Source organism: Homo sapiens, chromosome 2 (genome assembly GCF_000001405.40).
Source record: "Homo sapiens chromosome 2, GRCh38.p14 Primary Assembly".
NCBI lineage: Eukaryota > Metazoa > Chordata > Mammalia > Primates > Hominidae > Homo > Homo sapiens.
Window position 1 is genome coordinate 165,187,114 of NC_000002.12, and position 27,265 is coordinate 165,214,378.

The window sequence follows — 27,265 nt, forward strand, 5'->3', positions numbered from 1 at the left end:
CTCAAACATCTCAAAGACCAAAGAGGTAGACTAGTGGAACATGTGGTTCACATTGGTGTTGTAGGTCATTTTCTAGTTCCTTCTCCTCTCCACCTAAAACCCAGTTTGATTGGCTTACTAAAATAAGATAAATAAACCTATTTAGTAGCTTCTAAGAGTATATTTTAGACAAGCTGAGGTAAAAAGCCAGCATGCTAAATATTAACCTAAATGTAATAACCAGATGTCATACTTCTTTCCGCTATAACCAACAGCAATGGCTTAGCAGAGTTAAACCAATAATAATAATTTCAAAGGGCAATATATATAATTCTAAAATCAGTAACTGACATTTAAAACAATATTTACTGCAATTCATTTATACAATGCTCATAAGCCAAACTAGTCATGAATTCTCACCAGTAAATTTCCCTTGGCCACTTACCATAACAAAAAAACATTAAATCTCACTTTTACAATTTTATACATGGTCTATACAATCTTTGTCTCCAGATGAACTCTCTCCTAAGCCATCATTTTTTTTCTCTATTCTGTTACCGGAGTGATGGTTTCAAAACACATATCCTACCCTTGTTCAAATCTGTCAGTGGCTCTCAGTGACTCAGAATCACTTTAGCAAAGTATGGAAGTGCCTTCATGATCTGGCCTCTGCCTCTCTTCTCTTACCTCTCACCAAGTGGTAACAATAACACAAATGCTAATAATAATACCCATAAGACACACCTTGCATCAGAAATTGAGCAATAGATTGTTACATAAATTTATAATTCTTCAATAAATGTTAGTTCCCTCTACTTCACAGCCACAAGCTTAATAAATGTTATTTCCCTTGTCTTCATAGTACACAAGTAACTAAGTTTTAAATACTTTGACCTTCATCCTGAGCTATAATGAACATGATGTTAAGTATGTTAAATAACCAAAACATCAATTTCAATACATTTTTAAAATATTTGAGAGCTTTTTGCTGGGATGTGGAGGGGGATGAGGTAGGGAGGGCTGGATATCGAAGAGGGAATAAGGAGGAGCAGAAGGGTGGAGTTTGAAAAAGCATCCCAGAAGTTTCTGATTTGCTTGAGTTATCTTTCTTTTTCCTACCCTTATGAAAATTACTGATTTACAGATTGGAGAAAATATATTTTATGGCCTTGGCTTCAAAGAGGAGAGAGTATTTTTTTTTCTTTTTCAATCCCAAGTATCCATGGGAAATCGCAGTGATTCCTGCATGTGGATTAATACTTCACTTTAGGCCACATACTTCAAACTGCGTTATATCTTAATAAGAGTTGCATCTCACTTATTTTTAAAAGCAGCCCTGGCTTACAAATTAACTATTATATAAAATTGGACTCTAAGCAATTCTGAACTTCAGTGAGCATAAGAATCACCTGTGCAGCAGGGCGCGGTGGCTCACGCCTGTAATCCCAGCACTTTGGGAGGCCGAGGCGGGTGGATCACAAGGTCAGGAGTTTGAGACCAGCCTGACCAACATGGTGAAACCCCGTCTCTACTAAAAATACAAAAATTAGCCAGGTGTGGTGGTGTGCACCTGTAATCCCAGGTACAGGTACTCAGGAGGCTGACGCACAGGAGAAGTGCTTGAACCTGGGAGGCAGAGGTTGCAGTGAGCTGAGATCACGCCACTGCACTCCAGCCTGTGTGACAGAGCAAGATTCCATCCGCCCCACTTCAAAAAAAAAAAAAAAAAAAAAAAGAATCACTTGTGCTACTTGTAAAAGATGCAGATTTCTGGATTCAATTTCTGGAGATTCTGCAAAAAGTAGGTCTGAGGTAGGGTCGAGGGATCTGCATTTTTAATACACTCCCTAAGTGAGTTTTGTGCAAGCGATGCATGGATGACTATTTGAGAAAGGATGAACTAAAGGAATGAGTAAAGAATATGATCTGAGTGCTTTTGGCAATCAAGCCTGGAATTTTGGTGTAATGTCCCCAGTAACTAAGAAAAAATTGAAGCATATTGGATCACATGAATTTTGTTCTATTTTAGGAAAAAACAAAACAAACACATTTCCTAAAAGTTGTATATAAAAAGCAAACATTTTTCAAGAACTAAACTGAAGGGTGGAAATTTTGTTTAGGATATAGTATAAAGGACATGAGGCAACATGCTCAACAGACATCTTAAATTTTATTTTGCACAGATGTGTACAAGATGCAAAAAAGTCTTTCTCTGATGGTTGCAATTAGTTAAACTAAGTGAATTTCATTTAGAAGGTGATGAGATAAGATGGTCCAGAAACTTTGCTTTCAGATGACCTAATACATTTATTGGATCTGGAAATCCCCCAAAAACGGTTAGCCTGCATTTGAAATTATCTTAATAAAATTTCAGCATTTTAGTAATTTAGGAGAAATTCTTTGGTTTTCAAATAAGGAAGTGATAGCTCAAACAGCATGATAGAAATTTTACCCTAAAAATGCTAGATGTCACCAGCTGAGGAATCTTAGACAAATTAAATCTTTAATTTTATTTTTCTTAACCCGTTTCTACTTAGTATTGTTATTAATGCTTATGCTAATATCAACAATTGAATATTCTAGAGGCAAGTTTGTATCCTCTTTTGTGGTTATTTTAGTTTATCCTGAAAATTTATTTATCCTTTAAGATCTTCTAGTTCCCAGTGTTGTAAAATTTTTGTCTTACTATGGCTCCATTATTTTTTAGCATCATTTTGCATCTTTACTCTTTATCTCTGGCCATGGAAGCAACTTTATTTTCTTTCAATTGTTTTTATCTTCCTTTATACTGATGACATGATATACCTGCTTAAGAATTTTTCAGGTTACAACCATTTGTGTCATGCAGTAGGCTGTAAAATTCTGGCTGTTCAGCATTTTGCACAAGAACAGAAGCAGATCCAAAGGTGGTCATGGAGGAACTCACAAGCTTTGCCATGAGGAAGGGACAGCTTTCCATCTAGGTGGGAATGTGGTTGGCTTTTCAACCTCTGTGATGAGGTAACAGTCTCAATTACCATCTGCTCACTTGGTTTTAAGACTTCAGGTCCCTATGAAAGAGGTAACTTCAAATGGGCAAATCACCAAGATATTAGAGGGTGAAATATTGAAATGTTGTCTAGGAAGCCAAGTTGTCCATTCAGTTCTTGGGGAGCTCCAGAGATTCTCCTTGTAGTAACTTCGATCACCTTCGTGGTGGTTCATGTTAACTTAAAGTCTGAGACTTCTTTCTTTCTTTGTGTTGTATAAAATTCATTTCTTCCTTTAAAAATGTTGAGCTCAGGAGGCTGAGAGCTAAGTGTACATTTTGAAAGAGTAAATTCATTAGCCTACAGTCCTTAACAGATGTATCACATACATTTTCTCCATTTTCCTTGTCTTGAGATTCCTATTGCACAAAGATATATATATATAACTTTATATATATAACTTTATATATATAACATTTTATATTTATATATAACTTTATATATAACTATATTTATATAAAACTTTATATATATATAACTTTATATATATATATATAAAACTTTGCATCACTTTTTAGAAGAGGTGAGATATAATAAATAAAAATCAAGTTCCTCTATGTGATTTAAAAGGCTTTTTCATTCTTTAGCATGATTCTATACTTCTTATAAACCATTTTTTTCTCAAGGACTATACTTAATTTTATAATAAAAATAAATATTAAGAAATGAACTTGGAAGCACTGTATCCTAACATTGAAAATAATCTTTCAGGCCATCTAGTTTCATCAACCTAGTTTAAAGCAGTGGTTCTCAAAATTTAGCATCAGAATCACCGGGCTAACTTCTTGTTAAAACACAGCTTTCTGGGCTCCACCCCAGGTATATATGGCTGGGACCCAATTTTGCATTTCTAACAAATGCACAGATAATGCTGATGTTGCCAGCCCAGGAACCACACTTTGACAATACCTAGCTTATTGAATCCAGGATTTTACGTTGTTTTTTTTTTTTTTTTTTCAGGTTAGAAACATGTATACTGGGCATATCACTTTCATTTTTGCAGTTTCTTAAAGATGACAATCATAGCTTCTTCAGTCTCATTTATTTATTCATTTGATGCCCTATGGTGTAATTTCGCTGCACCTGGAACCTTGAAATGATTTACAGCAGTATTACACAGAAGCCTGCAATTGCTTTCAGTCTCCCTGCTGCCAGCCTGACTCCCATATAGCCTGTTTTTACCTTGCCTGTCAGAGTGATTTGAGAACATAGAAATCGAATCATATCATTCCTCTGCTCAGAAGCCCCCAGAAGCTACCCAGAAAAAAAGTCCCAAATCCTTACAATTGCCTAAAAGGCCTTATAATCTGTCTGACCTTTTGGTTATCTAGTGGAAGGCACCTCCTTCTATTCTCCTCCTCCCTCAGTTCTCTGTAGCCTAACTGGCTTCCAGCTGTCCTCTGTACCTGGAAGCACACACAGACTATTCCCTTATTCCAGTATGCTCTTCCTCTAGGAAGCTGAATGACTAACTCTTCTATCTCCTTCAAGTCTTGGCCAAAAGTTTACTGTCTTAAAGAGACCTGCTCACACTTCTCCTCTAATCTCTTACCCTGCTCTGATGTTTCCAAGTCACTTATCATTTTGTTAGGTACTATATAACTTACTTATAATGTTTATTATTCATTTTATGTCTCTCCTGGATAGCACAGAAACAGCACAGGGGCTGGAATATTTGCCTTTTTGGGGTCTATTTTCACCAATGAATCTCATGTGTCTAGAACAGTACACGCACATAGTAGTGCTCAATGAATACTTTTTTAAATCAATGAATTATTTAATTTTGGTTTCTGAAAAATTTAGTAGTTTTTTTTTTTAGATTTATTATTTGGAAATTCAGCCCAATCTTTAGAAACTCACATATTCTATTTATGGCAACATATTTTATAATAGCAATGTCTAGAAAAAATGAAACCATCCACTAATGGGGTATTGATTAAGTAAATCAGATAACTTTGTTTTGTATTATATAGATATTAAGATGATAAAACATAAAAGGACTCAATATAGGAAAAACAAAGTCAAACTTTATAGGCACTATATTTATTAATTATGTAGCCTTATTTAATCTAAATCAAAATACATACATTACAATCCTCTTTACCTCAAAAATAATTATATAACTATGCCAAGTTTACTAGACTCTCTTGAAAACAAAGCAAATTGAAGACTGAATACTTTACCTAAAGTATTTCCCACTCTAAAATATCTTAGGAAGTAAGAATGATAATAGAGAACAGTGATTAAGCACTGGTCACTTATCAGGGACTGATTACTTCATTTAATATTCATAACAAATATATAAGATAAACATGATTGTTGTTTGTATTTTTTAGATAAGAAAACTATAATGTTCAGAGGGGACAAGTAACTTGCCCAAGGTCACATGACTAGTAAATGTTGCCATCAAATTCTATAATTTTTTCTTTGGGAAAATTAATCAAAGCCTCTCTACAATGATCTTACCAATGAACCTCTCCAGCTACATCTTACATACTCTGTATATTTCCATTCCTTAAAAGACCTCAGCCTCTGACATCTGGCGTTCAAAAATGTTCACGCTGTCTGAAATATCATTGACCACCAACTGTCACCTCTTAAAATCCTACTAAAATTTTTACAGTAATTATATATATTCTATCTTCTGTTGTTATTGAAGATGTGCCTTATTGCTTCTACATTTATTATTAAATTCCTTGAGGAGAAGGATGTATTGACTACCTACCACAGTAAGCAGGGCATTATCAGATATATGGTGGATACAATTGCCCAAACAAATCTTGCAAACATTCTGTTCAACGTGGTAGCCATTGACCACATGAGGAACTGAGCATTTGAAATGTGGGTAGGTGCCAAATTTCAAAATGATATTTAGGACATATCATCTTAAACAAAATATATCATTAATAAAATCAATCTTATTGTTTTCTTTTTTTGATATTAAAATCTAGAACATTTAAAATTACATACATGGGACTCATTATATTTCTAACGCACTGTGCTTTTTTCAGATATACCTGTTCCCTACTCCATCACTCTCCTCCAAGGGATCAAACCCATGAACAAATGCATGAATTAAGCAAGAGGCGAATCCCTTATTCTGAGATGTTCTACATGGGGGAGGGGGCTGTCTCTGGATCAATAGTTTTTCTATTTTATGTAGTCAGGTTGCTGCTTTTGTCTTTTGGTCTAAGAAACACCATAGTGAAAAAGCTACTTGGTCCATAAGTGAACATTCTCTCTCTGTGTGCGCAGTGGAGCAGAAACCACATGCAAATCAGAATATAACAGCATTACAGGAAGCTTTCTATTTTGAAGTACATTGGCAACATGACAAATATAAAGCAAACAGCATTCTCTGAACAATCCTTGATCCCTTTCCTACCCCAACATCAGCCATAATAGACAGCCCTATGTGTTGCCCTCAGCCACATGTCTCCTACTGCTTGCTGGTACCATGTGCTTTAGGCAGTTTCTTTCCAGGCAAACACAGACTGTTTACTGACTGTAATCAAAATGACAGCCCACTGTTTTCACAACTGAGTGTTGAGAGTCGATTGCCTTTTTCACTTGGCAACCTGAGGAAAATTGAGAACTGGGAACTTGAGGTATGACTTACATTACTTCAAGATGGCGGTGTTGACTACTCCACATGTTATCTGCGCTCCTTTGAGATTTAAAATACAGAGGATTGGGATTTGTCTAGCTCAGAGCAAAGAGGTTTTAATCACTGCTTTCAGATGGGTGCAAATGGTAAACCACACTGGAGCACAGGATGATTTAGGTGTGTCTGAAGTTCAGCTGCCATTTGATTCTTCATCAGCAAAAAACCAATCACATAAAGAGGCCTTCCCCACTAAGCAGGCCCCTTAGATACACAGTTATAATGTTACACAGTGGATCACTCCAAGATGGTGCCTCAGAAGATAATGCAATATACTAGAAAAACATGCCCCTGCCCTATCTTTATTAGAAATGAGATTTAATGAAAAGATAAGAGAGAGGAAAACAGAAGGAGAGATATACAAGTTGCAAATCAGACAAACTATTCTAGACTTGTCTCTGCTGTCACTTGTGTGATATATTGAACACATGAGATCTCAGATGTTTCGTGTTTATGTGAGTAAAAAAGAAGGGAGAGGTGGGAAATTGACCAGTTAATTTGTAGTACCTCTTTTATCACTAAAACTCTAGTTCAGTGTCCAGACTTTGGGACTCTGTACTAGGCTTACTCCAAATGTTTGTCCCTTCTGAGAGAAACTTCTGAGGGTATAGCAATACCCTTATACCCTGAACGTGGGTCACTAAACCTTATATAAATCATGTTCCTGAGGTAGGTGTGTCACATCTATTAGAGGATATATTCATTTTTAGAAGACTTTAGTGAACTAGATGCTTGCATAGGTCCTCTGCAGCCCAAATTTAAACTGTTTCTTGATAAATAATATAAATGCCTTGAGTAGAATATAACTTGAAGATCAGTTGCTGAAAAGAACTATCCCTTGAATCCTTTCTAACTCTAGATATTCAATTTTGTACACATGACATCTTCATGAAATGGTAATATAAAAAATCTCCTACTGAGAAATTCCATACAAATTGCAGTTAAAAGAAAAACCTAGAAAACTTTAAGTCTGGTTTTCAGTGAAATATGACCAGTCACTTGACCATATCTCCCCCAAAAAGGGCCCTTTGAAATAAAGAAAAGATGAAAAAAAAAAGTCTTTCCTGGGATCTGAATTCAGGACCCAGAGAATCTGTGTTTTTCCTTCAGGCTCCGAGCACATCATTGGCACCAAAATAGAGCAAAGGACTGTGTGCACTGCCCTGATTTAGGTGTGGATGATGCCACTTACTGCAGCGGGGAATGCAGAGTAAAAGGTCTCTGCACATAAGGACAGGAAGGGGATGCTGTTCAGTGCTCAATTCTTTTGAGGCTAAAGGAGATCCAGAATTCCACAGGTAAGAGAAAATTATATATGATAAAAAATTTTGTTTTAAACAGGGATTGTAGCAACCAAACTGCTGAAGACTGGCGTGGTCTGTCTGTCTTCACCCTCCAGAGGATAGAGGACCTGGTAAGTAAGAAACTGACTAGTGAGGGCAGTAATCCTGAGGAGAAACCTAAGAAGAGGTGAGAGGGAAGATGCCAGGAGGGAGAGATGCCCTGCCGTGTGCCAGGTGTGCCACCTGAGCTGTCTCCTCAAGGACATGGAGGATTCAGGATCCTGATAAAATTGCCAGTGCAAAATCAGACATTGAGTTCACTCATTCTTCAAGTGTCACTCCTCTTTAAAAATTAACAGACTTTTTTTAGAACAATTTTAGGTTTACAGAAAAGTCTATCAGAAAGTATTGAGTTCCCACATCGAGTGCCCTATTGAATGTCTTAAATATCTGTCTTCAAAATTTTTATTGAGAAATAAATTGAGAGAATAAATAGAAACTATTTTGTTAAGTGTGAAACTTCCCAAATTTAGCTTTCTTGAGGGATGTGTATTGTTGGGGGAGAGGAGGAAGTGTATTATTTTCTGATTAAATTGATCTCACAGTGTTTTCTGAACTGGCACCACTATCATAGATTTAATGGGATATTTAAAAGAAAGGTGTCTTACAATGACAGGATAATTTTAAGATACTGAGTAGAAAACCATTCCTTACCAATGCATAAGAGGGAGCTGACTATTGTTTTCATGGTGTATCTTAACTCTAGTGTTTATTTGCATGAAAATCTGCATCTTGATTTGGATGTGCTCTGCCACTTTTCATTTACCTTCATGCTTTACCCTTTCCTTTTCAAAATGTTCAAAGTGCTTTTGAATAAGGAGTTGGAATGTTTCCTCAAAAGAATCTAGCTAGTTCTTACAATTGTCATCATGTTGGTAGAGGGGAATGGTTATATCAACCATAAATTATTCCCCCTCTGCACTGATTGTGTTATTTAAGGTGACCCTTCTTCATAAAAGCATTCCTCCCCTGGTTCAGGCTTTCATTCTTATCAATATCTCATTGGTTTCTTATTTATATTTTCATTGCAGACTTCCCAAATCCTTTGTGTATAAAGGTTGGATTTTTTTTTTTAAATAAATGATCCAATCCCAATGGGAGGACACAAGCACTGTGTCACACACATTCATCATAACCCTGGCCTCGAACATGATAACTTTGCAATTCCTTGGCCAGTATTTCTTCTGTTTATTACAGAAGCACCAGCGACCTGCCTCAAAATGTGGATATTCTCATCTTGAGATTTAACAGATATTTTCTGTTATGATAATCATTTTACTGACCACGTTGGCAGAATGTTAGAGATGGGTGAAGAAAGCATAGTTAAATACTAATACTAAATGATGATCCTCTAGGGAAAAGACTTTAGGATATAATCTTCTCTGAAGGACCTGTAGAGGATTGCCCTCTATGTCTCCTACCCAGCTGTGGGAAACCAATCCGGAACAGCAACTGGGGTGTTAACCCAGGAAATGTCTCCTTAAAAGCTGACTCATCTTAGGAATGAGATTCTTTTTAAGAAATGCAATTAATTATTAATTTCGCTCCACTATTAGATTAATTCACTTCTTTCTCAGATATGCCATTTTCTGAAAATATCTTTTAAAATGCATTTTGGCTTTAAAAAATATGTTCGTTTACAGAATCTGCCTTTCCTCCAGATCTGCCTAAATTGCACTTTTAAAAAATTAAAAATCAAAGTGTTTTGCTTCCAACTGGTGATTTGGAGATTCAAAGAATATCTTTCAGTAGACCTACTCTTATTCGATTATTCAAGATTTAGTTCTCCAGATAGCAATTTGTAAGTAAGAAATAAATCAGTGAGTGAATGTATAGTTGTACAAACTTAAAGTTATGGATGCTCAGCTCCAAATGTGTACATTGTTTGTATGGTTAGCTTGCAAAATATACCATAACCAGTAGCTGAATCAACTTTCAAATATCATTGGGATAATAAATTAACAATTTCAAATGTAAAATTATTTAAACACATAAATAAATGCCAGTGTGTTCAACCAAGGGAGAAATGGACACAAGTGTATTTTTTGTTGCTTCCTTAAGTATTTGCATAATATCTTTACTTAACACATGCCCGCTGGTTAGCACTTTGAAATTATTTTGAAAAGCGTTTGTCAACTATCTTTCACTTCCCTAGCCAAGTTTTCATTGGCTTCTGTTATTTTTCTTTGTCTTTCTCTAGTCAATTGGTTTTCAAACCTGGCTACACATTTGAACTACAATTGCAGAGCTTTTAAGCAAATATTGATACCCAGATTCCGCCTCAGAGAATCTGATTGAATTGGTTGAAGGTGGAGCCAAGCATTGCTCTTTTTTAAGTTTTCCAAATGATTCTAATGTGCATCCACAGCTGTGGGCCACTCTGTGAATAAGCTGTTAATGTTCTACCCCTTTTTGTTTTCTTTCAGTATGTTTGCATATCTCTTTCTCTTTAGCTGTGTTTTTTTTTTTTCTCCTGACATTTTTATTGGTGAGGTCCTATAAATCTATTTTTTTCTTTTCTCATTTTGCTTTTTTCTTTTTTACCTCCTATTTACTGGCCAAGAAGTTCTCATTCCAGGTATATATATTTGATTTATATTCTTATCCCATACTATTCATGCTTTATGTCAGTGTAAGAGAACACAATATGATGGTGAATTATATTTTTGCCTGTTCTTCCAAAGCTAATTTAATAGTTTACATTAATTTTTGGTATAAATATAAAAAGATCAATAGTAGAAACTAAGGCCATTGTCAAAAACGGATATTAAGGAAGGATTTATTTTAAATGTAGTTATTATTGGCTATGACAAAAGACAATAAAACAGTTTAGAATTTTGAGACCATACAGGTCTCAAGGACATGTATATATCATATCAACAGTATTTTTCCCTTTCAGAGGTAAAGGACGGCAATGTGTTTGCCCTAAATTTTAAACTTTAAAAACAAATTTCAATAGTATTTAAAGAACAGAGTGGAAGTGGGAATATTACATATTGCAACAAATAACATAGCAGAAACAAGATATCACTAGCAACAGAAAATAGCAATAGAAAAAAAAGAAAAAAAAAGAATCAATGCTGCTAAGTATTGTGATGATGTTAATATTGGGAAGAAAACTAGAAATCAAGAAGGTAATGCATAGATTCAAGGATTTGAAATGAAACAGACTGAGCCTAGACTAGGAGAAAAGGAATCTGAGTGCCAATGTAGCTGTGCTTCTAAATATGGTCAAGAGGTTTCCTCTCCATGCGGTTTATTTTCCCCAACTGGCGAAAATACTGGTTAGATTGGCAAAAGGAGAAAAAGAAACCTTGCAATTCCTTGGCCAGATCCTGCCTACACATGTGTTTTATTGAATCTATCTGGTATTATAAATAATTTGAAATAGATGATTCCATTTAACAACAGAGGGAAATATTTACTAACAATTTGGATTTTTCAGCTTCTTCAGGGAAGTCATTTGATGTAACAGTCTCCTAGCAGTGAGAAGGCGTTTTCCATTTTAAAAAGGGCATGCATTCACTTTCTAGTTCCTCAGGCCCAACATGAATGGCTTTACTGCTTTCTCTTACCTACTTTGCCCATGCAGGAATTTATGTTCGTTTCTTCTAGAATTTATTATTTAAGGTCATGACCAACCATTATATAAATTCCATGAAAAGAAAATGCTCAGAGTACTTGGGAACATGTTTAGTTAGGCATAATAAAAACAACTTATATGGAGAAAAATAAATGTCACAAGCAGAAACACCAAGGAGACAGAGAAACTAACAAACAGGTGACTAGTCCTCAAATAGAGGCTTAAGCCCACAAAACGTGTCCTATTAAACCTTATGCAAGAATATGTTGGACTCTAGACCAGAAGCGCAATGTCACTTGTTAGAAATATGAATTGGAATTTAGTGAATTATTCCAGTTCAAGCTCTTTCTTGGGAAAGGAAAAGGACAAAATGTTCTGTACAACCAAAGTAAGAATAAAGTATATTCTGAAAATCAGGAGATTAAAATTCCCAAAAGGGAGCTTCTTGGCAGAAAATGGTCAAAGTTATTTAAAGAGTGACTTTGAATTCACCCATTGAATAAAACAATATTAAACCACTATTTAATAATTAAGGGACCATCATTTCTCTAACTTTGCTCCAGCACAGAGTTTAATCACATGAAGGGCTCCCTATATGCAGTCTCCAAAAAAATGAAAACCTAATTCAATTCTTACAGAAATAACTCCAGATTTCATAAGGTTTCTCTGAACTAAAACCCCTGAAAATTCATTTATACAACCACACCCAGCATATGTTTACATGTGCTGTATTTTAATATTGTAAACTTGCTTGCAAGTTACTTTTCAGTTGTTCTTTATTCATAGATCTTGGGTAAAACCTTCTTTAAAGTTCTTTCCAGAATGTCCTTTATCATTTCAAATCCTTACAGGAAAGAAGTGGGATATTAAAAAAAGTAATAAAAAAAAAAAATACTTGGCACATTGAAACTTGTGGTATCCAGTTAAGTAGGTATTCATATAAATTTTAAAGAATTATTCTACTTTAACAAATTATATTTCTGATGTAGATTCAGATTTTAGGTATCCAAAGAGCTGGTGCCTATCAGGAAGTTAATAAAACAAAGTATGTCTGTGCTTAGTAAAAGAGCAAGATTTTATTTATTGCTGTATTATTAAGAGGAAACACTATTCTGCTCCGAAATAGGTGTCTGCACTTGTTACATCCCATTAAAATATAAACAAAGAATGTGTTAATTTCATCCCAGAGGGAAAAATATTTTCAGGTAAAGCTGAACTAAAACAGTAGCTTCTCAATCAAAGATAAATGTGTGAACCGACAATATAAAGCAAGAATATGATTTTCTTTCTTCCAAATTTTCTAACTACCTCAAGTTACAATTGTTCAGTCTACCTCAAGAAGTAATTCAGATGTCAGGTTCTATATGGATTTGCCATGAAAGTTGTTTATAAGGTAAAACGTAAGCATGACATTTTGAAAATGAAAGCAGTTAGAATTAAAATTAATCGAAAATTTAAAACGAACCTAAAAGTACAGAAATAGAGTTAAGTAATTATATTTCACTGGTAGGTGGGTAATTAATCCTCACAGTTTTGGAAAACTGGTAAAACAACCATTAATATTAAGGTGCGAATGAATAATATATTTTTAGGTGACAAATGAAACATGAATTCCCAACCTTCAGTGAGTTCATGTTTCTATACATAAATGAAAATCAGAAAAAAGTAATCTTCACAGCTACCTATGTAAAGAAATATCACTATATAATCAAGTGTTAATTTCTTGGTGAAAAAAAATCTTTAAATGCTTATTCTTATGGATGCTTTTAGTTATCATCAACCCTAAAGATAAGAACTCGTAAGAGCTGGGAGTGACCTAGAACTGAGAGACAGATGAGCAACAAATTCCAAGCACCGCATTTGTCTAGTTGAGAAACACTACCCTCATATTTTTAAGCCTCCCAAGCTCTTAGCCCTCTCAGATCTGCCTAATCAAGAGTCCATTAAGTCATCTTGGCTGCCATGAAGATGAAGCTGACAGCGCAGTTACTTGAGTCAGTTTAAAGAGGCCTAGGGTGGTTGAAGGGAAGGATTAGGAGGCCTGGGGTGCTGAAAGGTCATCCAAGTTCTAGCTCCCAAAGACCCCAGTAGCACACAGCTGTCAGGAGCACGAAGCTACACTTAGAAACAACCTTTGGAGGAAAGCAGGGATTTTGCAGTCCATCAACCATTCATCAAGCACAATTTGCCTTTCCACATCTTATTGTACCGTTAATAGAATTGAAGCATTAGAGAGTTTGTGAGTTGATCACATAGCAAAGACTTTCCTGAGATTTAGGTTCAGTTATCTGGTGGTCTTAGTAGAAATTACTTGGCGTTTAAATGTGGTTTTGGTGAAACCTAGATTCCCTTTGTGAATCTTTACAGAAACTTCGTCTAACAGGTATATCCTCTTAAGGCAACGTGAAATAAGGCCCTTTGCCTCTATTTTCATAAGAAGAAGAAAGTTTTGAAGTCCGTGATAACATATTGGGCATAAATAACTGTCTTCTGGAAGGCATTATGAGTTCTATAAACTCTCCAGGAATTGCCTGGAATGTTAACACTAAGTGATACTATTATAGGTACACAATTGTTGTTGTTTCAGCAAGGGCATCCTTCCAGGATGAGAATTATTCACTTTTCAGGTACATAATTATTTGGCAGTTTTATTCTATCCTTCCTGTTGTGGTGGAAGATATTATATCACCAGCACTAACGATAACAATAATAACAATGATGAAAATTTATGCCTTTATGTTTGTCCTGTTCCTTTTGATGTGAGTTAGGATGGCAGGGAGAGAGAGGAAGGAGGTTCGTAATCATGTTCCAGGATCTATACCAAGCACTGAACAGACATTATTTTAGTTACACAATCCTGTAACACAGGCATTATTATTCCTATTTTAAAGATGATGTAATAAAGGCTCAGAGAGTTTAAATAACTTGTCAGGTAATAGTGGCCATAAAATGTAACCTGCCAAGCTCTTGCTCTTAACCACTTCTCCATGTTGTTTCCTGCTTGTTTCCACTACAGAAGGAACTGGCCAAGAAACGCCCCTATTTCTCTATTTTACCACTTTCATGTTTAGCACATCAATCATAATTTACAACTCAGTGAGAGTCAAAGTTGTATCTTAATTAAGCTGAGAAACCAACTGAAGAAAAATCCAAATAAATGAGGATCAGAAAATTTTAAAAACAAAGTATTCTTATACAGCTTTGATTCTAATTTCCTTCCTTTGTAGGCAAGGAAAATGCTCTTCAGTGATACTTGGGGTCTTTTCTGAGACAACAAAACTCACTAGTAGCAGAACATGAACCAGATCCCAAGACTTTCAGCTCAGGGTTCAACCTTTTTATCTTCAGTACTCAAATAAATCACAGCATTTTTCTCAACTTTACAAATGAAATCACCACTACATTCTTTTAAAGAGTAAGTTATTCAAATGTGTTTGATATATCATTTAATCAAAGCAGGTTTAATTTCCGAAATTTTTGAAAGAGCGCATTTTGTGAAGTGAAGAACTCTGAGTGTATTTGCTTTTTCACATGGCGACCACATGTATAGATGAATAACTAAGAGACTGTTGCAACTATACCAAGAAAAATAAAAGCTAACATTTGGGGCCAAAATTAAGCATTCATTCATAAATGTAAACCAGTTCAATCAAGACCAGCTCTGATGCTTACTCAGAACAAAGTTACTCACATTTAGTCACCTGTAGAGAAGCATGGTGTGTACAATACACTCAAGTTAATTAACAGCCATTTCTGGGAACCCTGTCCAAAGAAATAGTTTTCTTTATCTCCTATGGTAGGAATTCTTCTGAAATAGACAAGACCCAGGGCTCTCCTCTCAGGCAACCACTATTTTGAAATGTTTTTGGGGGGACTATTATTGCTACTCAATGTAAAATATTAAGTGAGATGTCAATATTTTTCAACATATCATTAGGAATTACAGTTTGGAGGCCTTAAGTTCTATTTTTGAAGCCCTTTTAGCCAGTACTGACTGGAAGCCCTGTTGAAATCAGAAGTCTTCATTTCATATAGGGCACACTCTATTTGGAGTGAATGTGATGAAATGTTTCCATGCAAATTCCTACAAGCACTTATGCCTTTATCTTTGTCCTCATAAGCCACATTATACTACCTGTTGTGTATTTTAAAACCCTGTATGATTTTTAAAACTTATCTTTCAATTAATATGTATAGATTTTCTGTCAATAATTTCTTATTCTAATTATGTGGTGGCTAACTGAATGAAACATTTATGGTTATGATATAGAATATTCTAAATACAACTACAGACAATATGGATCATAGATAAAGTAAATTATTGTTTTATGGCTCCAGTGGTTCTTCCTGGTAATTAATAAAAATAAACAGTTATTAAATATATACAGAAAAACAGCAATCTATCAAGCTTATAGAACAATTAAGAATATATAATAATCTTTAAATCAATAAATTAAAAGGTAAACATTTAATATAAAATGAATATATTAAAGGATAAAGAAGTAGCATATTATGGAACATATAGAGATTATTTTATTTTTTGAAGGTTCAACCTCTTTTAAATGGTTAGTATTGGTGTTCTTTTCTCTATGAAAACAGATTTTAGAGAAAAATGATAGTGTATTTCACAAAGCCAAACACCTCTATATTGTTATCACTCCCTATATGCATGGCCTCTCTAAAGCTGTTAAATAAAAAACTAAAGCACAAGAATGATAGTTCCAATTTCACTATACATTTATGTTTAAAAAATACTGGACACACTGGGCATTTAAATAGATGACATACAGCCAGGAAACTCATTAGACTAGCTTTAAGTATAATAAAAAATATTTTTTCTGAATACAATTAATCATAAGCATCTACAAAAACACAAGACCATTGATGCCTAGTATGTACCATAAATCACCATTTCCAGACAGGCTCTATTTTCTTTGAAAGATAAAGAAATAGTAAGCAGTTTACACATCAAACGATGCCTTTGGTTCCTGTAATTTACATTTAAACAACACTGGGTTAAAAATAGCAGCATGAAGATGATTTTAAAGTAAGGAAAATGACCTGGTAGCTAGGTTCTATGGTGCAGATAATGAAATGTTTTGTCAGCTTACCTGATAAAACAGAGCCTTATGAATTACAGCATAACAAAGCCCAGCATCCAAGATGGTTAGGGTATAACGTGTCTTCCTCTGCAGCTGTTCAGCTTTTTTTTTTTTTTTTTTTTTTGACCACAGAGGTTTACAAATTAGTTACAATTTTTTTTCTTTCTTTCTCTGTGGATAAGAAAACAAAGAGACCTTTCCAGAATCCTCTCTGCTTATGCCTCCGCTTCCTGTTCTGAGATTCACTCTATGGTACCCAACATATATCAGAAAACAGCTTTGAGGAAAAAAAAAAAGAAAGAAAAAAAGGCCGATCGCACTCAAAGTGGTACCGCCATCTACTGGCGGACACACACAAAATTGAGCCAAAGAAAAAACATTCCCATTATCCTCTGTCACAGGGAGGAAAGTAAACCTGCATGAAGCATGGGTAGTCATGAAAGTGCCCCAAGATGACAGTAGAGAGGTGATGTGAGCTAAAATTTCCCAACACACTAAAAAAATGTAACTTATCTACTACATATAAATATGTATGAGACCTTTTACATATTCAGTTATTTGCATCTCACTAATTTTTTTAAAAAATTTTATCACTTTGTTGTTTTGCATGATTGTTTCACACATAAACTACTAAAATTAAAAGATATATAAATTACTGTTTGAAAAATAGGTTTTAAGTTTACATTACCCTTTACGTGTAGAGTTTTGCGAAAGCTCCCTTGTGGCCTGCTCTAGTCTTTTGAAAACCTTTTCTCTTCCTGGGATGAATTATTTTCAAGGTGAGGAATTTGACTCCTTAGAGAACAGTGTAAACACATACTCACTGATAGTATTTTTGTGTTGCTTTCTGGTAAAACATTTGCAAGAAATATCTAAATGTAGAAAAAGATTCTATACATCAGTGAACCTAGCTAATATTATTTATTAGGATATTGAAGCACACAATACATAAAGAAAATAAAAATAATCCATCAGTTATTAAGATATTTCTCAATCCAGATGTATGTTATTGTTTCATCTGACCTTTCATATCTACTTTAGAGCAAACAACTATGATTTTATTACAGTTTATCATCAATTAAATAAATACATTCATATTGACAAACCAACTGTATGGATGGACAAAAATGATGTCAAGTATTATATTAGACTTGAAAAGACACAGAGAGAAACACACAGTGCCTGCCATAAAGGAGCTCATACAAAGAAGAAAAACAAATATAGCTGATACCATATTTCCCAGCCATGTGTTCAAGAACTGTTAATTACATACTTCGTTTTCAATTGTGGCCCCCATTTTGTCTAATGGCAGAAAAATAAATCTAGTCAGTTCCAGGTAAACTAAATTACTTGAGGCTTTTCCCAATGATTTTGGGTTTGCATTCAACCAATACATGATTTTCCTCTTCTATCTCTCCTTCTCATGGAGACTGATCTAAGTTCAGGATTGTGTACATATATAGAGAAAGCAGAGTATGATCCCGTTCCCCCTTTCTCCACATGGGCATCCACTGAGGCCAGGAGTCCTGCATGATCCATGACCATCATTATCCCTCATATCTACTAACGTACCCACAGGCCCACTGGGCCCCGGGAATAGCATCCCTCCAGCTTTGCATGGCAGCATCCCCTCTTTGTCACTTCTTCCTCTAAGGAAACTTTTGTTCCTGTCCTTTAGGAGGAGAGAAGAAAAAGCAGCATGTTCCCAGGGTCACTCTTGGCTGTAATTGGCTGACTTAAGCCTTCCTCCCTGCCCCAGGCGCCTCACACAGCCATCTCTGTTCTGCTGTTTGTAAACCATGGGATGTAATGCACTCTGCAGGCTTCAGGCAAGCGAGGCACAATCTCTGCCACACTAGAATAGTGTAAATAGATGGAAACTTCTCATCTTTTCATCTTTTTAGCTAATCCTAGATTGGCAAACTATGTAAGGAGCCCTTATCAGAGACTCCTTTCCTTCTTCATAACTTCCTTCACAGACTCAAAAGAGTTTTTGCTTGGGTCTCTTCTTTCTGTACCAAAGGTAAGCTGGAGCCACTTGTTTTCCCTTGAAATCTTTTTGTCTTATGTCTAATGTATCAGTTTACTAGGGCTGCTGTAACAAACTGCCATCCTGAGGGGCTTAGACACAGAAATCATTTTTTTCACAATTCTGGCTACTCAGAGGCCAGAATCAAGTTGTCAGCATGATCATGCTTCCTCTGAAACCTGCAGGGGAAGGATACTTTCTTGCTTCTCTTAGCTTTTAGTAGCCCCAGATGTTCCTTGGTTTGTGGCAGCATAACTCCAGTCTCTGTCTCTGTCTTTACATGGTGCACTCCCTGCATCACTGTCTTTACGTACTCCTCCCTCTGTGCATGCCTCTGTGTCAAATTTTCTCCTCTTTATAAGGACACCAGTCACTTTGGTTTAGGGTCCGCCCTCATAACCTAATTTTAACCTGATTATCTCTGTAAATACCCTATTTCAAAATAAGGGCATATTCTGAATTACTCAGAATTAGAACTTTTTGAGAGGAGGCACAATTCAACCCCTAACACAAGAATTTAAATATAAAGCACAAGAATTTGACAATTCTTCTGTCCATCTCCAACGACAATTCCACTTAGGCAATAATAGCCTTGGCTATCTGGCCAGAATTGGGGAGGGTAGGGGAAGAGCCTCAGGTAATGATGAAGACATTTAATAATATTAGTAACAATAACAAAACTAACATTTATTGGTACTATGTGCCAGACATTGTTCTAAGCACTTTACATATGTTCATTTAAACTTCACCCATATGAGGTATTATTATACACACTTTACAGGTGAAGAAGCAATGAAATGTGAGGGAAGTAAAACGTAGTTAGTACCTGATATGGTTTGGCTGTGTCCCCACCCAGATATCATCTTGAATTGTCAGATATCATCTTGAATTGTAGCTCCCATAATCCCTACATGTCATGGGGGGCACCTGGTGGGAGGTAATTGAATAATGGGGGCGAGTTTTGCCCATGCTGTTCTAGTGATAATGAATAAGTCTCATGAGAGCTGATGGTTTTATAAAGAGGAACGTGTCCCCTGCACACGTTCTCTTGCCTGCCACCATGTAAGATGTGCCTTTGCTCTTCCTTCACATTCCACCATGATTGTGAGGCCTCCCCAGCCATGTGGAACAGTGAGTCCATTAAACCTCTTTTTCTTTATACATTACCCAGTCTCAGGTGTTTCTTTATGGCAGTGTGAAAATGGACTAATACAGCACCTCACATCTCATCCCAACACAAGCAGTTGTAATCGGGTAAGATCACTCATAATACAAGCATTTGTCAGATGCTGAAAGAACACAAAGGAAATCAGCTTCCACTAATTTAGATCATTGATACTCACACGTTTAGTGTAAATTTATAACATTTCATTGTTTCATTGTGTACACTTTCTGTCATGAAAGATTCCTATTTTCTAGGCACTTTTAACTTTTTCTTCTCTACTCATGAACAAACTAGCCCTGCTCACTGTCTCTCAACTAAATGTTCATTAAGTGCCAGTCCCTACTGCTCCACACTCATTTTACCATTACTAGTAATATTTAATAGAATATTAATTCTATCACTCAGTTTTGGGTATCCAGATGCTCCAAAGAGTTTTCTGATGACGTCTTCTGAGGAACTGATTTTTCTTAGGTTATACTGGGCCACATTTTAATGAGAACTGGTTTGAACAAAATAAGAAAAGTAAATGATAATTATTGTGGCGATATTCCTCATAGAAAAAAAGAAAAATAAATAAATGCCAGCAAAGAGAGCTTTACTCTTTGTTGCTGAAGAAACTAATTTATCTTGTCATTAAAAGTAGAAAATTATATAAAGGAAGAGTGACCAGAGGTGTGGTATCATTTGCTATGATTCTAACTTCATTGTGACTTTCGTACTTTTTTTCTGTAGACAGAACGACAGGTAGTTTGCAAATCTTCAGTGAGTGGATTCTGAGAGGGTTAAGGTGAAATAGTCATTGATTACCAACATAAGGTCTCTGGAGCCTTAGTGGTGTCTGACCATATGTTGTAAACATATCATGCATAAATCACAGAAATTCACACTAGAAGAGAGCTAATAGCCTCCAGCTGGGACTCATAGGTTGCTCTGTGCATGTCTACTGTTTCTGATTACTCAAGGTCTTCAGAGCCTTTGTGGGTAGGAGCTATAATGCTGGTTTCTATTTGATTTTATAAGCTTCATAGCCAAAGAATACTTTTTGTAACATCCATAGATCTACCAAAAGATTCCCAGACTCTGGCCCAATTTTCTTGTTTCCTAGACCATTATTTCCCAGACAGTGATTGGAGGAATACTACTGTTCTGCTGGACTAATGAAGTGCCACTCCACATCCACCAGAATGGCTACAACTTAAAAAGGCTTATCATACTGTTTGTGAGAATCTAGAGCTACAGAAGCTGTCAGAGACTTCAGGTAGGAATGTAAACTAGTATAACCACTTAGAAAAATGGTTTGGCATTACCAACTGAACGTGAGTCTACTCTGTGAGCCAGCAAGTGCCACTCTTAGGCATATACCTGACAGAAATGTGTGTGTGTACAAGAATGCCTGTGGAAGCATTATTGAAAACAGGTCAAACAAGAAAGAACAGAAATATCTTGAACAGGAGAATGGATATAAGAATTGTGGTGTATTCTGAATCTATAGTATCATACTAACATGAAAATGAAAAACTGCAGCTACCCACAGAAATATGCTGGATTTCACAAATCTGAGGCTGAGGACGAAGAAGGTATGTAAGCAAAACATTATTAAATTTAAAAACAGGACTGGGCGTGGTGGCTCAAACCTATAATCTCAACATTTTTGAAGGCTGAAGTGGGAGGATCACTTGAGCCTCCAGGAGTTCAAGACCAGCCTGGGAAAAATGGCAAGACCCTGTCTCTACAAAAAAAATGAAAAAAATAAAAATTAGTTTGGTATGGTGGTGTGCACCTGTCCAGCTACTCAGGAGGCAGAGATGGGAGAATCACTTGAGCCAGGGAGTTCCAGGCCACAGTGAGCTATGATCATACCAGTTCACTGCAGCCTGGACAACAAAGCCAGATTCTTGAAAGATAAAAATAAAAACAGGTTAAATAAACTCTAATATTGGAAGTAAGAGCATTGGTTTCTCTTGAGATAAGATAGAGCTTTTGGCAAGATTGGTTGAGATAAGGGCTATTCTGGGTACTAGTAAGATCCTATTTCTTAATCTGGGTAGTAGTTATATAGGAATTCACTTCCTGGTAATTCATTGAGCCAAACATTTATGCACTTTTTTGCATGTGGATTGTACTTCAAATTTCAAAGTAACAGGCGAGTTTTTTGACAGTTGTCACCTCTGAGGAAGAAAAAAGTAATGAAAGGTGAAATAAGTGGAATTTCCAGGATTTGATCTGTATATATCTGTTCTGTTTGAACTTTGTATGCTTATTAGTGTAATAAGAAGTGCATTATTAGTGTAATTTTCAAAAAATAAATTTAAGGCATTAAAAGTACAGTAAAGATGTACCTTCATACTATTTGTACTTATTTACCTCTAAGTTATTCTCTTTTTAAGTTGAGTCTAGGATGGCATTCATCATTATTTTAAATTGAGTCTGTCCTGGAATTCCTCTTATGCCAGAAGGCCTATTCAAGCTGATACTCAGCTTCTATGCTTCTGTCTTCAGTCATCTTAGTAACAAAGTTAACTACCACTGTGTTTGCATGTATGTTAAATAAACAAAATTTACATGTCATCTACAATTTCACACCTCTATAGTCTAGTTTAGATTTGTATCTCCTGATTGTAAATACTGAGACTAACTCACTTTTGCCCACTGCCTAATATATTATGCCATAAATTACACAATGAAATACATGACCTGACAAAAGATAATAAAACACTTTTACCTTTGTTACATCTTCTTCCTTTAAAACATCTAAACAAGTTGAGAAGGGTAGATAATTTTCAGATTTTTCAGGTGAGAAAAATTGGTACAGAAATGTGAAAATTACATGATGGTTAAAAATTGGCCAAATAAAACAGGATAATTGCCAGTTTAAAATATATGCATTAGACAATATGATTTTATATCAAGGGCTCATTTCAGATATAATAACTGTCAAATATTATTTAGAAGGTGTGCTTGATTCAGCAATATTAAAAAATTTTAACCTGTATTATAAAAGAACAATAGAGTAAAACATACTTTCCAAGTGGCTTCCAGTATAGATTACCTTCTGTGCTGTAGTTGCACAGCTATGTAATAGCAATTTTTCAAAGGTGTTGGGTCACTATGCCTTTTTAGTTGCCATTCCTTTGGTTAGAAATTACTTTCCTTTATTGCCATTCTCACCCCTATTTCCCTCCAACATCTGGAAAACTACTATTTATTCTTGAAAATGCAATTAGGGTAATATACTTGATAGCTTGTCCTGATCTTTCCAAGTGTAAGGTATCAACTTAACTGTACTCCCTGTCATACTGCTATACACATCATTAATGGAGGAGGTGAAAATGATTCATCCATTAAAATGACTGAATATTCTTAGGTGCTTGTAAACGCCCATTATTTACCATGGAGTTTCATCAGAAAAGACAGGTGTGAAGCAGATAAGGGCAGGTACTGGGAGATACACGTCTCTCTGCTTCTCTCAGGAATGATGGCTGGATAATCTGTTTACCCATATGCACACACACTGTCTACTCTAGGGCTTTGTGACTGAGCAACAGGCTTTTTTTTCCCTATACATTCTTTGTTAGTATGACACTGTCAGATCATCTAAGCTAAAGGGAAAAATGTATTTTTTTTTCATGAGTTCCTAACACCTTTTGCTAATTATAAGCAAGCACGCAGGCATTTCCCTTATATAATTTCTCATTTTATCTTCTAAAATTTGGTACATGTGAGTAGCCAACTATGTCCAAATCTTTATATGATTAGGCCAATATGAAAAGAATTAAAATTTTAATTTAATATGCTCTCTTTTATTTTGGAAAATATTTACTTGCATCATATTTCCAGCTTATATTATATTTTTATTGGTTGTTTAGCATTCTTTAATACTAAAACAATAAAATAGGAAATCATGCTTAGACCACGTCTTCTAAATTTCGAAGACGTAATATGTTGAAAAGCTTTATTTCATGTATAATACATTTTCATTTAGTTTATCAATTTTAAAAGATAATTTCAACTAAAAAAATCCTTCACAGTTTATAAGTGCACTTTATTAGTGGAGAAAATCAAGGGTTTTAAAACATCAGAGTAATCATGATGGAAATTATTATACGTTCATATTTCAGAAAATAACTACTCTTTTTTTAATTTTACAAAGGTAAATTGACAAATGCAACTTTCCCATAAGCTCTGAACAAAAAGAGGGGCTGTTAAGATAAGTATGAACATGGGGGAATCAGGGGAACTGGGAGGTGCTAATGAAGAAAAAGCTAGAAAAGAATCAAAGAACTACATTATTTAAAAACTTCATCTATTAGGAAGTGGCTAAGAAGAAAAATATGGAGAGAGATGGAATGTTACTGTCATAAACCTGGGAGAAGATGATCTTATGCAAAAGTTAATGTAAGCGGAAATGGACACAAGTATATGGATTTAGAAGATATTATGGTTTATGTTGTAGATATGAATTTTAATCTATATCTATGTGTGTGAAAAATAATAGATCAACAGTAACTTCAACTTCAGTAATTACTATAGGGCACCTCCACTCAATGTATCAAAGTTCCAGAGTCTTGTGTAGGACCCAGGTATAAAGGTAGAGGTGAGGGGCTCAATCTTTTGTCATATATTTGCATAGGTTACAAGGATTCATTTATTTAACAAATATTATTGAGCATCTACTCTTTGCCAGCAACTCTTCTTGGTGCTTGTAATGTATCAGTGAACAAAACAAAGATCCCTGCCTTCATGAAGCACATGCTTTGGGAGTGGCACAAATGTGGACAATAAACAATAATATTAATGAATTAGTAAGTGATATTAAATGTCAGAACGTGATTAGTGCTAAGTAAACAAGTAAAAATTAAAATCTGGTTGAAGAGATCAGAATGTTTGATGGAGTGGTGGATTGAGATTTAAGTTAGTTGATCATACGGAAGGCCTTATTAATATGATAATACTTTAAGCCTATGACCAGTGTAGTAAGCCTAGTTCAGAGTCCACAACCTAGGCTTATAGGAGATGCTACATTTCCTTATATTCTACAAATATATTTTATTTAGATTTTGGTGCCCCATTCGAACGAAGTGGCAAGAAATCCAAATTATTTATTTTAGAACTTATGACCCCCTCTCCCATCACCAGTGATTAAGTTTCCCAAGTCTTACCTAATGACATTAGTCTTCTCTCCAAACAATTTACTTTTCAGTTTTTCATTGATATGTTTACCTCTCTCATACATCCGTGTAAGATATGCCGTGATTCCCCATGAAGTTGGAAACTGGTGGCTAAATCCCTTCTACTTACGCACATCAGGAAGCAGTCCTTTGGTGAGATAGTATTATCTCTCTAGAGGTCTTCCAGGAAACAGGCTCTCTGCTACTCAGATTCCTACAGGCCTATTTCTTTTTTCATTATTTGGAAGATTTTTCTGAACTGGAGCATCCCCTCCTGCCTCCAACCACTTCTTCAAGACACACAGCTTCTACCCCCAAAATCCATTTTTTAAAATAGACTTTGAGAGTTCATTAAATCCTTAATTTAAATCTATGGCAACTAAAAAACTATATCCCTTTCATCATTGTCATGGGTGTCTGTATCTTCAAACCCTTACAAGAGCTTGGGGAAATTATTTATCTTCTATTCTGCAAGTATACCAAAGAATAGAACATAATAGTTGTTTTCATACTAAGTATATTTTCATAGTAAAAGAGTGAAAATTCAAATTCCATCACAATATTGAGGAGGTATCATTAAACCTGATTTTGAAACTGGATAGAACAGTGAGAGAGAAGGAGGAATAATGGTGACCCTCAGGCTTTTGACTTGAAGAAAATAGTATCTCTGTATGCTACTCATGAAGATAAGTAAACATTAGCTAGACCAGGTTTGTGTCTTTGAAGATGAGTCATTTAGTTCAGGGATTTCTGTGTTTAAACTACTTGTGGGACATCCAAATAGAAATGATCAGTGACATTTAGACCAATTTGTAGTTTATAAAAGAGATCCCAGGTGAAGAGCTTGCATCAGAGAAGAAATCATTTTTCCGTTTCTGTTCTCCCTACCATTGCTCCAGATTCTGTTTCCTTCAATTTCTGCTCAAAACTTATCCTTTCTATTATTTTATATTATTGTATCTCCTTCCAACCTTCAATCATTATTTCAATCTTCAATTGTGGCATAATGCCTCTGACTATGAGCCGTTATTAAAAAGAAAACAAAATAAGGGAAGGAAGGAGAGTAGGAAGAAAGGAAGGAGGCAGGAAGAGAGGAACGGCAGGAGAGAGGAAAGGAAGCTCTTCACTAACGTTTGACAATTTGCGCCAGCAGCACTCTGTTTAGTCTTGTGCCTTCAGGGATGACTTTTAATATATGATTCCTCAATATTTTTCCAGCCTTAATTTTAATCTTCTGATTGTCAGTAGTGGGTCTTCAAATAATAAGCATCTGTCTGGCTGCCATGCCACCACCACCAACTCAACATAATCTTAAGCTGAACTGGTCATCATGCTTGACAAATAATAAAAACACAACCTTGTCTTATTCTTAATAATAAGTATTAAATACATTCCATTGCTCAGGCATGGTTTTATTCATGACTCCCACCAGCCACTTTGGATCATCCATGGTCCATTGCTCACTTCTGCCTCTGTGCCTTTACACCATTGACTTTGCCCAGCCTGAAATCTATCTTTTTGCAAGGTGCAGATCAAGTTTGACATCCTCTCTTACCTCCATTACCTAGAACTAAGCACTTCTGATCAATAACATGTCTGAGAGCCAATGGATTTTTTTCACCATGAACTTAACATAAACTACTTTTATTGATTTATCTACCCTTTTATACTTTGGGTGTTACCTTAAGAAGGACATTGGAAGTTTTTCTATCTAGTGTGATCTTGTTGTATGTCTTTTTTACGTTCACAGTGCCTGAAAGAAATTTTTCTTCCACTGAAGGCTTGATGCTATGAAATGGAGTAGCTCACTGTTTTTTCTCCAATCCATCAAATTCCTTTCTCTAAGTATGAAACTCGGTAACCACTGACATTCCTATTCCAAATTCACCAGCTATGTGATTTTGGTCAAGTTACTTGACCACTTGAAACCTTAATTTCTGCATCTTTAAAATAAAGACAACACCAATTCTTACCTTGTAGACTTCTGAGCATTAAATGAAAAAAAAATCCATGTGAAGCATTTAGCAGTGCCAGTCACAGTGTCCAACAAATATTTAGTCATAATATTCATATGGTCATATGTTTCTAATTTAACTACAGCACTCTAATTATACAACAATGGAAAACCTAGAGATGTCTTCATTTCCTCCTGCTTTCTCATGTTTCTTATCTGATCAACTGGTGATCATACAAAGTCTCTAAT

General features: G+C 35.4%; 1 protein-coding gene across 12 annotated transcripts in view, besides 1 other annotated feature; it reads right to left on the bottom strand.

Annotated features, from left to right (window-relative positions):
- Positions 1–16,937, bottom strand: part of SCN3A (sodium voltage-gated channel alpha subunit 3) — a 116,525-nt gene extending 99,588 nt beyond the window's left edge. For all 12 annotated transcript variants that reach the window (NM_001081676.2, XM_017004662.3, XM_017004661.3 and 9 more), the window contains exon 1: positions 16,710–16,937. The gene's annotated coding sequence lies outside the window, so the exon portion shown is untranslated. The remainder of the gene's footprint in view (positions 1–16,709) is intronic.
- Positions 6,191–6,240: a silencer, noted in NCBI's record as "silent region_12066". NCBI's record gives its function as "represses an Ori minimal core promoter by ATAC-STARR-seq in GM12878 lymphoblastoid cells {active_cell/tissue: GM12878}" and the evidence as "EXISTENCE:reporter gene assay evidence [ECO:0000049][PMID:35858748]".